Source organism: Homo sapiens, chromosome 22, assembly GCF_000001405.40.
Source record: "Homo sapiens chromosome 22, GRCh38.p14 Primary Assembly".
In the NCBI taxonomy this organism is placed as follows: domain Eukaryota; kingdom Metazoa; phylum Chordata; class Mammalia; order Primates; family Hominidae; genus Homo; species Homo sapiens.
Window position 1 is genome coordinate 30,107,693 of NC_000022.11, and position 13,067 is coordinate 30,120,759.

Consider the following 13,067-nt stretch of genomic DNA (forward strand, 5'->3'; position numbering starts at 1 on the left):
TGAGCTGAGACCATGCCACTGCACTCCAGCCTGGGCGACAGAGCGAAACTTCATCTCAAATAAATAAATAAATAAATAAATGAAAATAGTTTGAGTAAAATCAGATTTGAGTATCTAGAGATCTTGAAAGGTGTTCCCCTGTAAGAGCATGATTATTTCTAGTTATGAAATTTTGTGTGATTTTTTTTTTTTTTGAGACGGAGTCTCGCTCTATTGCCCAGGCTGGAGTGCAGTGGTGTGATCTCGGCTCACTGCAACCTCTGCCTCCCGAGTTCAAGCAATTCTTCTGCCTCAGCCTCCCAAGTAGCTGGGACTACAGGCACGTGCCACCATGCCTTGCTAATTTTTGTATTTTTAAAGTAGAGATGGGGTTTCAATTTTGGGTGATTTTTATACTTATTTTGTACTTTATATTATGCTTGAATTCTTCAAAATAAGTACATATCAGTGTTGCAGATAATTATTGTAAAAAAAGAGACTATATTGTATATAGCTATCTAGCTTGTTTCCTTATTCGCATTCTCAATCCCTCACCATTCCAACCCACTGTCCACACTGCATACTTTCAGAAACCCAAGTCTGATCATGTCATTCTTTTGCCTAAAAATTTTCCACAGCTTTTAAAATAAAGTTCAGGGTCCTTCACATGGTCTGCAAGGCCTGTATGATCCCTATCTTCCTGTCCAGGGCATCACTGTCATTCCCATGTTCAAGCCACACAAAGAATCTAGAACATGCCAAGCTCCTTTTACCTTTGCATATATTGTTCCTCTTGCCTGGAAACTTCTCTCCCCTGCCCCATACACCTTGCCTGGCTAACTCCAATTTATCTGTCAAGTCTCAGCTTAAATATTTACTTCCCTAGGGAAGTAAATACTTCCCTCCCTGACACCCTCCTCCCTAGCCTAGATGGTCCCTTTATTTCATGTTCTCATAGCATCCCATGCTGCTTCTTCATAGCAATGAACACAATGTTAATGATGTAGCTATCTTTGCTATTTTTTTGTTGTTTAACGTTGTTCTCCCCTGCTAGTCTAAATGTTCCCTGAGATTGGGACCATGTCTATTTTTGAATGAATGCATAAATAAATGAACTCAATTAAGTAATGTATGAGTTTATATGCAGTAATCAAAATGGCCACACAGTGGCAGTAAAGTTTTAGTCCTTTGATATGAAATTATGGTTCTGAAATTTTTTTTCTTTTCTCTTTCTTTCTCTCGCTCTCTCTTTCTCTCCCTCCCTCCTTCTTTCCTTCCTTCCTTCCTTTCTTCTTTTTCTTCCTTTCTCTCTTTCCTTCCTTTCTTTCCTTTCCTCCTTCCCTCCCTCCTTCCTTCCTTTCTTCTTTTTTTTTTTTGGAGTCTCTCTCTGTTGCCCAGGCTGGAGTGCAGTGGCGTGGTCTTGGCTCACTGCAACCTCTGCCTCCCGGGTTCAAGTGATTCTCCTGCCTCAGCCTCCCGAGTAGCTGGGATTACAGGTGCCTGCCACTACACCTGGCTAATTTTTTGTATTTTTAGTAGAGACGGGGTTTCACCATGTCGGCCATGCTGGTCTCAAACTCCTGACCTTGTGATCCTCCGGCCTCAGACTCCCAAAGTGCTGGGATTACAGGCGTGAGCCACCATGCCCGGCCCTCTCTTTCTTTCTTATAGGGTTTCACTCTGTTGCTTAGGCTGGAGTGCATTGGCACAATCACAGCTCACTGCAGCCTCAACTTCCAGGCCTCAAACAATCCTCCTGCCTCAGCCTCCCAAGTAGCTAGGACCACAAGTGTGCACCACTATGCCTAGCTAATTATTTACTTTTTGTAGAGATGGCATCTTACCATGTTTCCCAGGCTGGCTTTGAACTCCTGGGTTCAAATGATCTGCCCACCTTGGGCTCCCAAAGTGCTGGGATTACAGGCAAGAACCACTGTGACTGGCCTGAAATTTTCTGATTTGTATTCTAGTTTTTAAAAACAATTATCATTGGCTTGATTATATTTCTATCTCTATATGTTACTCTTTCAAGCAGAGATAATCTGTTCATAGTAGTGTATATGTAGAGAGGACAAGGACTTTATAGACATATAAGATGTTTTTACTTTAGTAGATTAGTTTCAAATGGGACACTTTTTGAGGTACTTGTTGCATATTTAATTATTTAGTAATAATGAATTATTTTGTATACCTTTTGCCTCCAGAACTAGAATATAACTTTTTAAGGGTAGGGATAGTTATCTTTTTTGTGTCCCTCTCGTCTCTAGCAGAGCCCTGTGTACGTAATGGACTCTCACTTGAATGAGTGAATAGTTAGTACAGTTGGCCCTCCATGTATCAGAGCATTCTACATCCACAGATTCAACCAACTGGAAAATATTTAGAAAAAATAACAGTACAACAATAAAAATAATACAAATAAAAAATACAGTGTGACAAGTATTTATATAGCATTTACATGGTATTAAGTATTATAAGTAATCTAGAAATGATTTAAAATACAGTTGAACTCATTACACATTATATACAGGTATCAAAATATCACATGTACCCCCAAAATATGTACAACTATTATATATCAATTAAAAAATGCTAGTCTTTCAGAAATGGAGAGAAAAAAAGAAAAAATTATAGGAAAGAATCAGTTTTCAGATATCTAGGAAATTCCCCTTTATAATGCAAAAAAATTGCTATCGAATTGTGAGCATATACTTTTTTTTTTTTTTTTTTTTGAGATGGAATCTCGCTCTGTCGCCCAGGCTGGAGTGCAATGGCGTGATCTCAGCTCACTGCAACCTCTGCCTCCCAGGTTCAAGCAATTCTCCTGTTTCAGCCTCCCAAGTAGCTGGGATTACAGGCACAAGCCGCCATGCCTGGCTAATTTTTTGTATTTTAGTAGAGACAGAGTTTCACCATGTTTCCCAGGCTGATCCCAAACTCCTGAGCTCAGGCAGTCTACCCACCTTGGCCTCCCAAAGTGCTAGGATTACAGGCGTGAACCACCGCACCCGGCCTCATATAATATACTTTTAGCATAAAATTAATTTTGACCTTCCTGGAAAAAAGTACAGTTGACCTTTGAACAACATGGGTTTGAGCTTCACAGGTCCACTTATATATGGATTATTTTCAATAAATACAGTTGGCCCTCTGTATCTGTGGCTTCCACATCTGCAACCAAAGGTGGATTGAAAATACAGGACGGGGCCAGGGCAGTGGTTCACGCCTGTAATCCCAACACTTTGGGAGGCCGAGGTGGGTGGATCACAAGGTCAGAAGATCGAGACCATCCTGGCCAACATGGTGAAACCCTGTCTCTACTAAAAATACAAAAATTAGCTGGGCGTGGTGGTGCATGCGTGTAATCCCAGCTACTCAGGAGGCTGAGGCAGGAGAATCGCTTGAACCCGGGAGGAGGAGGTTGCAGTGAGCCAAGATCACGCTACTGTACTCCAGCCTGGTGACAGAGCAAGACTCTGTCAAAAAAAAAAAAAAAAAGAAAGAAAGAAAGAAAGAAAAAGAAAATACTACAGGCTGGGCACAGTGGCTCATGCCTGTAATTCCAGCACTTTGGGAGGCCAAGATGGGAGGATCACTTGAGGTCAGGAGTTCACGACCAGCCTAGCCAACATGGCAAAACCCCATCTCTACTGAAAATACAAAAATTAGCCGGGCATTGAGGCGGGCATCTGTAATCGCAGCTACTCAGGAGGCTGAAGCAGGGGAATCCCTTGAACCTGGGAGACAGATGTTGCAGTCAGCCGATATCATGCCACAACACTCCAACCTGGGTGACAGAGTGAGACTCTGTCTCAAAAAAAAAGAAAAAGGAAAATACAGTATCTGTAGATGTGAAACCCAGATATGGAAGGCTGACTTTTCATATACTCCCTGAGGTACTTGAGTACACATGGATTTTGGTATTCATAGGGAGTCCTGGAACTAATTCCTTCTCAGATACTGAGGGATGACTGTATCCTTTTTCTTCTGGCCTTCTGGATATTTTTTTCCTACCCAAATCTTTCGAACCTCTCTGAAATAATATTTTAATTAGTCTATTGAAAAGAATGATAATATAGGTGCAAGTATGTAATAATAATAGTTTTTTTTTCTTTCTCTTGAAGCTACGTATGGCAGTACTGACAGTAAGTACACACTCATTTAAAGACCAAGCCTCTGTCTCTATTTCATTGTCTTTTGGCAAGTGAAACATTAAAACAGTACTCTCCCTCTTCCTCCCTGACTTTTTTTTTTTAATCTGTCTTGGAATTAAAAACATAGGATCTATCAGAAGTTTAATAAAAGATTATGAATTGTATATTTCTTTGGTATAATACATGGGAAAATGTATAGGCTATACTATCTGCTTCATTTATTGGCTCTCAGGATTTTATTTTTTTAGTTACTTTACAGACTCCAAATTTTTTGTTTTTGAAGTTTGGTAGACTCTTTTGAAATTTTGTATACCTCTGAGTTTAACATGTTATACATAGTTAAGAATAGAAAATGAGAAGATACCACTGAGAGTCTTAGATCTATGATTTATTGAACAAATTTTAAACCATAATGGATTATTTAGAATTTATTTGTAGCTTAGTCATGGTAATTATGAATCCTTCATTATTAATTTCCTTTTATTCAGTGTTCACAGAATATTCTAAAGACTCTACATTCACAAAATAAGCATATCCTATCTCTAGCTTAAAATATATGTCTGTACTCAACTAATAGAACACAAATTGAACTCTATATAAAAAAGGTATTTGATGAGGAGTAATCTAGTAAATTCCAGAAATTAAATGATGTTTATTTTCCCTTATACAGCTTTACACAGATCCCATGGGATCTGAGGTAAGAACACACACAAACGTATAGGTGGGTAGTATATGTATATTATATTTTAAGATGTTTTTCTGAGTTGAGGCTATAGATTTTGTTACTAGACTACCATATGAGCAGAGGAACTAATAGTGGGCTCTTTCAGTATATTTTACTCTAAACTTGACCAATCTCTTATTATGAGATTTTTCAAAAACTATGTAAGGGTATTGGGGAAAAAAGGCATTGAGAAGAACTGAGCTTATTCCCTAACCTGTTGGCATTAAGAGTCTCTTAATGTATAAATGTATAAAACCACATTTTTTTCTTAAAAATTTTTTAAATTTAATTTTTATGAACTTTTTTTCCGAGTCATATAAAACCACATTTTATTATTTATTTAAACTGATTATGAATCTTTTCTGTTTATGGCCTTTTGGGAAAATAAATGAGATATGGCATAACTCTAATTTTCATTTTTGCCAACTAAATTCTCCCTCTTTTCGTGTTTTTATAGATTTTCAGAGCTTTACCTCTTTACTTCTCTCTTTAGATTTCTTCCCTCTGTTTAGGGAATCCGACTCATCTTCAAGGCCAACTATGTTCATATCTTATATGTAAACCTCTTTGGCTATTTGGTCTATACTAACTTCTTTCTTTAAATTCTTTTTCCAGCAGAACCCCACAATTTAACACTCTCAATTGATTCATATTGATTACTTAATCTCCTCAACCAGATTGTGAATTCTTCTTTTTTTTTCTTTTTTCTTTTTTTAGATGGAGTCTCGCTCTGTTACATAGGCTGGCTCTGCCTCCCAGGCTTCTAGCAATTCTCCTGCCTCAGCCTCCTGAGTAGCTGGGACTACTGGCATGCACCACCATGGCCGGCTAATTTTTATATTTTTTATATTTTTAATTTTTATATTTTTAGTAGAGATGGGGTTTCACCGTGTTGGCCAGGCTGGTCTTGAACTCCTAACCTCAGTGATCTTCCTGCCTCCTCCTCCCAAAGTGCTGGGATTACTGGCATGACCCAGCATGTCTGGCCCAGATTGTGAATTCTTGAGGACAAGAGTCTTGTCTCATAGTCTTGGACACATAATAGTTACTTGTGCCACTTTGAATGTGGCTGTGGGACAGAAATTGAGGGAGAAACTTTCTGTTCTCTTCTCACTTTACTCTCTTTGTCTTTCTCCTAGCTTTCTTTCCTTTTTCTTTACTTTCAATTTTCCTTCTCTAAGCCTACATATTTAGCCTAACTGGTGCTATTCTAGACTAAATTATGCATTTTTGGCTCTTAATATTCTTTCTTTGCAAGATGACATGTAGCTGTTTAAGCAAGGGGTAAGAAAACTTTTACATACGGTAGGTAGCAATTCCTCAATGCCCAAACTAGTTCTATCTTTTATTTCTTTGTCTATTGTTTCATTTCAAAATGGTTCCCCACCACACTGTAAGTTTGAAGGGAAGTTTCCCAAAATAAAACCTTCTGATAGTTACTAAATTGATCATTTTCTTAGTGTAGTATTTATCATGTTTTCTTATGCATGAAAACTTCCTAGTTTGAAACCAGTGTTTTTTGGGGGTAGTGAAATGCTAAGCAAGTTGAGTTTAATTACAAAAAAAGTATTACAGAGTGGGAAGAAATGCAGGCATATATAATAATGAAGTTAGGAAACAAAAGCTGGTTATGTGGTAAGTTTTGAGCTATCATTTATGACCCAGGAAAAAATATTTTGAATGTTTACAGAGTGTTCCCCTTATGGGTAGATAGTGATGCCTAACCTCTACGTGTTCATGGTATACTTTTTATTACTAAAAAATTCAGTAGCATATTGGGTAATACTAAAACACTCAAAGGAGCCCAAACAAATCAGTAATAATTACAATGTAACTACTACTGTGGTATAGCAATGTTCATAGGGCCTAAAAAGCATCCACAAGTTACATTATTTTATGATTGCTATTTAGCATCAAGTCACTGATAAAACTATTTAGCTCCCTGATCTCATTCTCTTATGTACTCAAAAACAACATTCTAACATAAACATCGTCTTTGGCATTCATCTCATATTGTGCCATGTTTCTTGAGTTATATGCCTGGAAGTATATCCTTTCCTAAACAAAATTGCACAAACAATAACAATGTTTATATATGCCTGAAGCAAAAATACACTAGACAGTTGGATTAAAATTTGCAGCACTCTTGTGAAGAGTATGTCATGGTATAACAATTGAGAACCTCTGGCTTAAATCAAACAAGTGTGTGTCCCTAGTTCAGAAGGCCAACTGAGTTTTCAGCATTCTACAAAGTTATGGTACTTCTGTGCTATAAGTTTTGTTCTGGTTGCTCCATCTCATGAAAGAGATGACCAACGAAAGTAACTAAGCATCTAAGTAAACTAAGTACTAAAGTAGTGAAGAGTGATAGTGTAGCTTTTCTATAGGAACACACTACAAAATGAGTAGCAAGTATTAGTAAAACATGTAAGCCAAAATGTAAATAAGATTTACACAGCTTAATGCATATAAGACCATATAGAATTATTATATATGAATATGGTGAAGGCATAAATCTTATGGTTTCACTATCTATTCCTTTGTGCCTGTTTACCATTGGAGGTGATCAATACTCTTTATTTTTTATTTTTTTAAGAGACAGGCTCTCCCTCCATCACCCAGGCTGGAGTTCAGTGGTGTGATCTTGGCTCATGGCAGCCTTGACCTTCTAGGCCCAAGCGATCCTCCAACCTCAGCTTCCCAAGTAGCTGGGACTGCAGTTGTTCGCCACAATGCCCAGTTATTTTTTAAAATTTTTGCAAATGTGGGGTTATGTTGCCCCGGCTGGTCTCAAAGGATCCCCTTGCCTCAGCCTCCCAAAATGCTGGGATTACAGGTGTGAGCCACTGCACTTGGCCAACACTCACCTTTAATAGATTGCCTCATAAACTTAACTATAAGTAGTGTCCATTTCTAGCCACAATATACTTTTAGATACTTTATTTTAGAAAAAAATCGTTGTAGGATGAAATCCTAAGTAAGCATGAACTCTACCTTGGCCAAATATTTATTCATTCAGCAAATATTAATTGGGTTCCTTTTATGTGCCTAGCACTGTTCAAGGTATAAAAACACAGGGGTGAATGGGATAGGCAAGATCCCTGCTCTCTAGAAGCCTACGTTCTTATGAGGTAGGATAAACAATAAATAAATAAATAAAAATTAGTACAAACAATTTCAGATAGACATAGTGCTATGAAGAAAATTTTTTAAACAGGTGATGTACTAGAGAGTGCTGAAGTGGAGAATGAAGAAGGAGGGATTGGATGGCTGTGTTAGATTGGGCAGTTCCTAGGAGGCATCCCTGAGAGGCTACTGTTTGAGCTGAGATGAATAACCAGAAGGAGTCAGCCCATGCAAGTCTGTGAAGGGCAATGGCATGTGACAGGCCAAATAACACCACAGTTAACATCACAGGCATTGGCGTCAAATCGCAGTTCTACCACTTACTAGCTACATCAATAATGAGACTAATGTCTACTTCAGAGTGTTGGCTACACAAGGAGATGAACTTGTGAAATATTTAGGGCAGTGCCTGAATATTATTATTATCATTAACCGGAGACCACATGTTCCAGAATATAGCTGTGCAAAGGCCCTAAGACAGGAAGGAATCTTGGGTGTTTGAGCATAGAAAAGGTGCCATGAGCCTGGAGCTTAGCTGAGTGCAAGGGAAAGTGGCCAGAGATAAGGTTAGAGAGGCAGACAGGGGACAGATGGGTAGGGCCTTGCAAATCAAGATAACTTTTGGATTTTATTTTAAGGGTGGTGAGAAGCTAATGGGGGTTTTTAAGAAAATGAGTGACATGGTCTGATTTGTATTTTCAAAAACTACTTTTGGCTGCAGAACAGAGAATGAGCATCAGATGGACTTGCAATTTGCTTTAGAGATAGACCTGAAAAGTCTTGCCAATGGGTTGGAATGTGGAGGGAGAAGGAGAGGCTGCATATGTTGCTGCTGCTTTGGCCTATGTGACTATATTTAGTATGATTCATAGAAACCACTGATGAGCAGTTCAATGGTTCATCTTTATTAGGCAACACATTAGTCTGAAAAGTGTTATATGAGGTGTTAAGAATAGTGCCTGCTGTAAATATACTTTCCTAGATAAGCCAGAGTCAGACTGAAGTTAATTAAGGATTAGCATCTTCTGTAAAACAATTATAACTATAACTCTTTTATTAGTTGCTTCAGGGATCAAATAATAAAGTGTAAATAAAATTATCAACTACTAAAACAACCTACTCTTGTTACAATTTAAAAAAACAAAAGATCACTCAGAGCATTAAAAAGCTAGAGTTGATTGAGAAACATGGGCAGGCAGGAAGAATGAGCATTGTTTGCTTGGCAGAGCAATTACACCCAGCATTGGCTAAGAGAGGACTCTGTTCATCTCGCCTATCTGGAGTGAACCTGTTGCTATAGGCTCCTCTAATCTCATCTGTCTCTCCTATTGTATTTACAAAGCAGTTTTCTGAACTTGATTTGATTTCTCAAGTAGGCTGTCTTATTCAGAAAATACTTTTATCTTTTAAAATTAACTCCATTACAAATCAATCTCCTTAGAGTTTAAGCATCATGAGCCAATTTTCCCAAGATCTGATCACCTGTAATTAAGTTTCATGTTAAGGTTTAAGATCAGCAGAGCTGGGAGGCTTAAAGTAACAGAAACACTGAGACTTTTTCTGATCAGTCTGACATCCTCATTTTCACATTGTCAAGGATCAAATACTGAACCAGATGAATAAAGGACATTTTTTGTGTTCTGTTTTGAGCTTATACTGTTTACTTGTCATTAGTACTTCTCCAGCTCTGTGGACATACTGTATGACATATCTGGGCCAAACATTTGCTTCAACTACTAGATGTTTATTTTATTTATTTATTTTTAAAATTTAATTTAGTTATTTTATTTATTTATTTTTATATTTCAGTTTATTTTATTATTTCTTTCCTTCTATTCTATTCTATTTTTTGAGATGGAGTCTCGCTCTGTCACCCAGGCTGGAGTGCAGAGGAACAGTCTAGGCTCACTGCAACCTCTGCTTCCTGGGTTCAAGCGATTCTCCTGCCTCAGCCTCCTGAGTAGCTGGGATTACAGGCGCACACCACCACGCCCGGCTAATTTTTGTATTTTTAGTAGAGACAGGGTTTTCCCACATTGGCCAGGCTGGTCTTGAACTCCTGACCTCAGGTGATCTGCCAAAATGACCTCGGTCTCCCAAAATGCTGGGATTATGGGCGTGAGCCACCATGCCCAGCCAGACATTCATTTTATTTTAAATGGAATCTATCTCTTATGAGGAAATTTGTCCCTCTTTATTTCTAGTTTTCTTAACAGTGAGGAGAGCAGATAGCAGTAGTAGCATCTAGTTTTCAGTGCAGGACTGAAAAAACAAGACTTGATATCAGAGATCAGGGCTCCTTTTCTAATTTTTGTAATTTTCCTATTGCCATTATAGTCTTCCCTGAATTACTGCAGTAGACTCTTAATTGCTCTCATGGTTTTTATTTCTTCCCCTCTGCACTTTTAAAGGAGCCAAGATGATGTTTAAAAAATACAAATCACTCACCTGCTTAAAACTCTTCCGTAGACTTCTAGCTTACTTAGAATGAAATCCAAACCCCTTACCATAGCCAACAAGGCCCCATAGTCTCCTTTATCACCTCATTTCCTGGGTTCTCCCCCTCGCTCACTGGTTTCCAGCCACTGGGCCTCCTCTCTGACCCTAGAAGAGGCATCCCTCCCCACTTCAGAGCCTTTGCATTGCTGTTCCCTCTGCCTGAGGCACCCCACCCCCAAGATCTGCACATAACTGACCCTTGAGGCTCAGTTCAAACCTCACCTCTTCAGCAAGGCCTTCCTTGGCCCTTCCAAACCAAAGCAGCACTTGTCCCCTTCATGTACCTCTCTATCACAGCATCTGCTTCTTGTTCACAGCACTTACACTATCGGAATTAGCTTATTTCATTTGTTTACTTATTTACTGACTATTTCCCCTACTGGATTGTATGTATATTCCAGAAAAACAGGGACCTTTTCTGTCTTGTTCACCGCTGTGACTCCAGTGACTGGCACAAAGTAGACATTCAATACAATATTTGTTACATGAATGAATGGTTTCTCAACTGTTTCCACTGTTGTTTACCTAGTTTGGTTAGATATTTGACTCTGTGATTTTGTTTTTCCAGCTTTAAAATGGTAATAATAGTATCTTTCATCTAATTTATTTTTAGCATGGAGGAGAAAAACTAGGTTGTCTTTATATTTGGAAATATTACTCTTGAATAATGTGATACTGTGAAACAAACAGCTATATAGGAAGTACAGTAGATATACAGTGAAAATGTTCCTTACTTATGATCAGGTAAGATTCTGGATTTCTTTTCTAAATTCTTTTTTTTCTTTATTTCCTTTGGTTTTTGTAGAAGGTGACTGAGATGTACCAGTTCAAATTCAAATACACGAAAGAAGGAGCCACTATGGATTTTGACAGGTAGAATCTAACTGCTTAATGAACATGAGAAATAAATAGGATTGAGGTAAACATAAGCTTCTTGAGGCCAGAGAAAGGCCTTATACTTCTTTACACATTTCCCCACAAACCCTACAGAAAACCACTATTATAAAAAGGGGCTGCAACAATTGTTTACATTCCTGAAATCCATGGATTAAGCTGGTGGGAATAGAGAAAATGGCATGCAGCACAAAGGTAGAAATTATGTCAATAAGGTTGCCTACACGCTATTGATTGAATAACTCCATAAGGCTCTGTCTAGCCATTAATTCAAAGTTTCTCAACTGCTATGCCTAGATAGCGATCCTTTCCACCTCGATATAGCCAGCCTGTGCCTAGGGTAGATAATACCCTTGGACTATTTGCCCGTATGCACAAATATTCTCATTTGCTTACCCCAGTATGTCATATAAATATCATTTCCTTGTGTCCTTGTATGAAAAGATTAGAAAGCACTGCAGTTTCCTTATGAAGTCGAAAATTCCAAGTTTTAGGTTACTAATGGGTTAAATAGCAAACACAAGGACATTGAAGAGCAACGTTTATTTTTCTCCCAGTAGCTTTTGGATTCAGACCTGCCAGGGGGGATGGAGAGCTAAGTATTGCTGATGAGATGGCACAGTAGTGGAAGGTACAGATGATGGTGAAAAGCTCTGGATAGTAGAGGAATCCAAGTAAGGGGGATGGATGCCCTTGAAAGGAAAGACTGATGAGAGACATGGCCTAATTTTCAATTTTCCCTACTATTAGCTCTGGCTCATCATTTGCCATGAGCTTGAGGACTTTTCTCCAAGATTCACTCCCTTGATTATCCTTCCATTTGTAAAACCTACAGACAGCACTAGAATGTGAAGAGAAAATCAGTTCCAAAAATGAGAATTAAAATATTACCTTTTATTAGCTAACATTTGTATAATACTTTACAGCTTATACAGCAGCACTTTTCATACACGTTTTCTCACATAAAAAGTTACCTTTACTCTCCAAAACTCAAAAATATACACTGATGGCCAGATTAAACTCTTTTGTTCTGAAGGCACATATGCCAAGAGGTAAGCTGTAAAACAAAAATGGCCAAATCTTTCACATGCTAAGGAGAGAAGGTGATGCATATTATTAATTTCCTAGAGAAGAAATATAGGCATTTGTTTAAATGGGAGTCCTGAATATGATTTTACTGATGTGTCCTGGAGGCTCCCATGAGCTACATATCTATAGCCCTTCATTCTGGTTACCTACATTTGAATTGGTTAAATCCTGGTTGGCAGAATTTTAAGTTGTTCAAAATTGGAAAAGGAGCTAATGTATTCACTTAATAAATGTTTGCTTCATGAATTCACACTGTCTCCAAAGATCAGTTAGGGAAAAATCCAACATTTCAATTACTTAGGGTTATTTTTCATATTAAGAGCTAACTATGTGCACAGCCATGTGTAAATATATTATAGTCATGGTCCCTCCTGGAAACTACTCAAATGTGAGACTAATTGTGGAAGGAAACTTTGGAGATAAATGAACAAAGTTTAGAATTGGAAGGTAATTTAGTCCAAATTGTTCATTCATTCATTAATTCAACAAATGTTGATTGAATAGCTGGGCACCAAACTCTGTACTGTGGAGATGAAAGATATAGCCACTCACAGTCTAGAGAAGGACAAATAGTTATCCTGAGGATGAGATGAGGGTATTAT

The 13,067-nt window shown here is 38.1% G+C and overlaps 1 protein-coding gene across 11 annotated transcripts in view; it reads left to right on the forward strand.

Annotated features, from left to right (window-relative positions):
• Window positions 1-13,067, forward strand: part of HORMAD2 (HORMA domain containing 2) — a 129,725-nt gene that overhangs the window by 29,961 nt on the left and 86,697 nt on the right. For 9 of the 11 annotated variants that reach the window (XM_047441154.1, XM_047441156.1, XM_047441155.1 and 6 more), the window contains 3 exons: window positions 4,104-4,124; window positions 4,804-4,830; window positions 11,288-11,355. In XM_047441154.1, coding sequence (XP_047297110.1) covers window positions 4,104-4,124; window positions 4,804-4,830; window positions 11,288-11,355 — 116 coding nt within the window. Of the gene's footprint in view, window positions 1-4,103; window positions 4,125-4,803; window positions 4,831-11,063; window positions 11,227-11,287; window positions 11,356-13,067 lie in introns of those variants that run through there. The other 2 variants (XM_017028625.2, XM_017028626.2) reach the window with 2 other exon arrangements.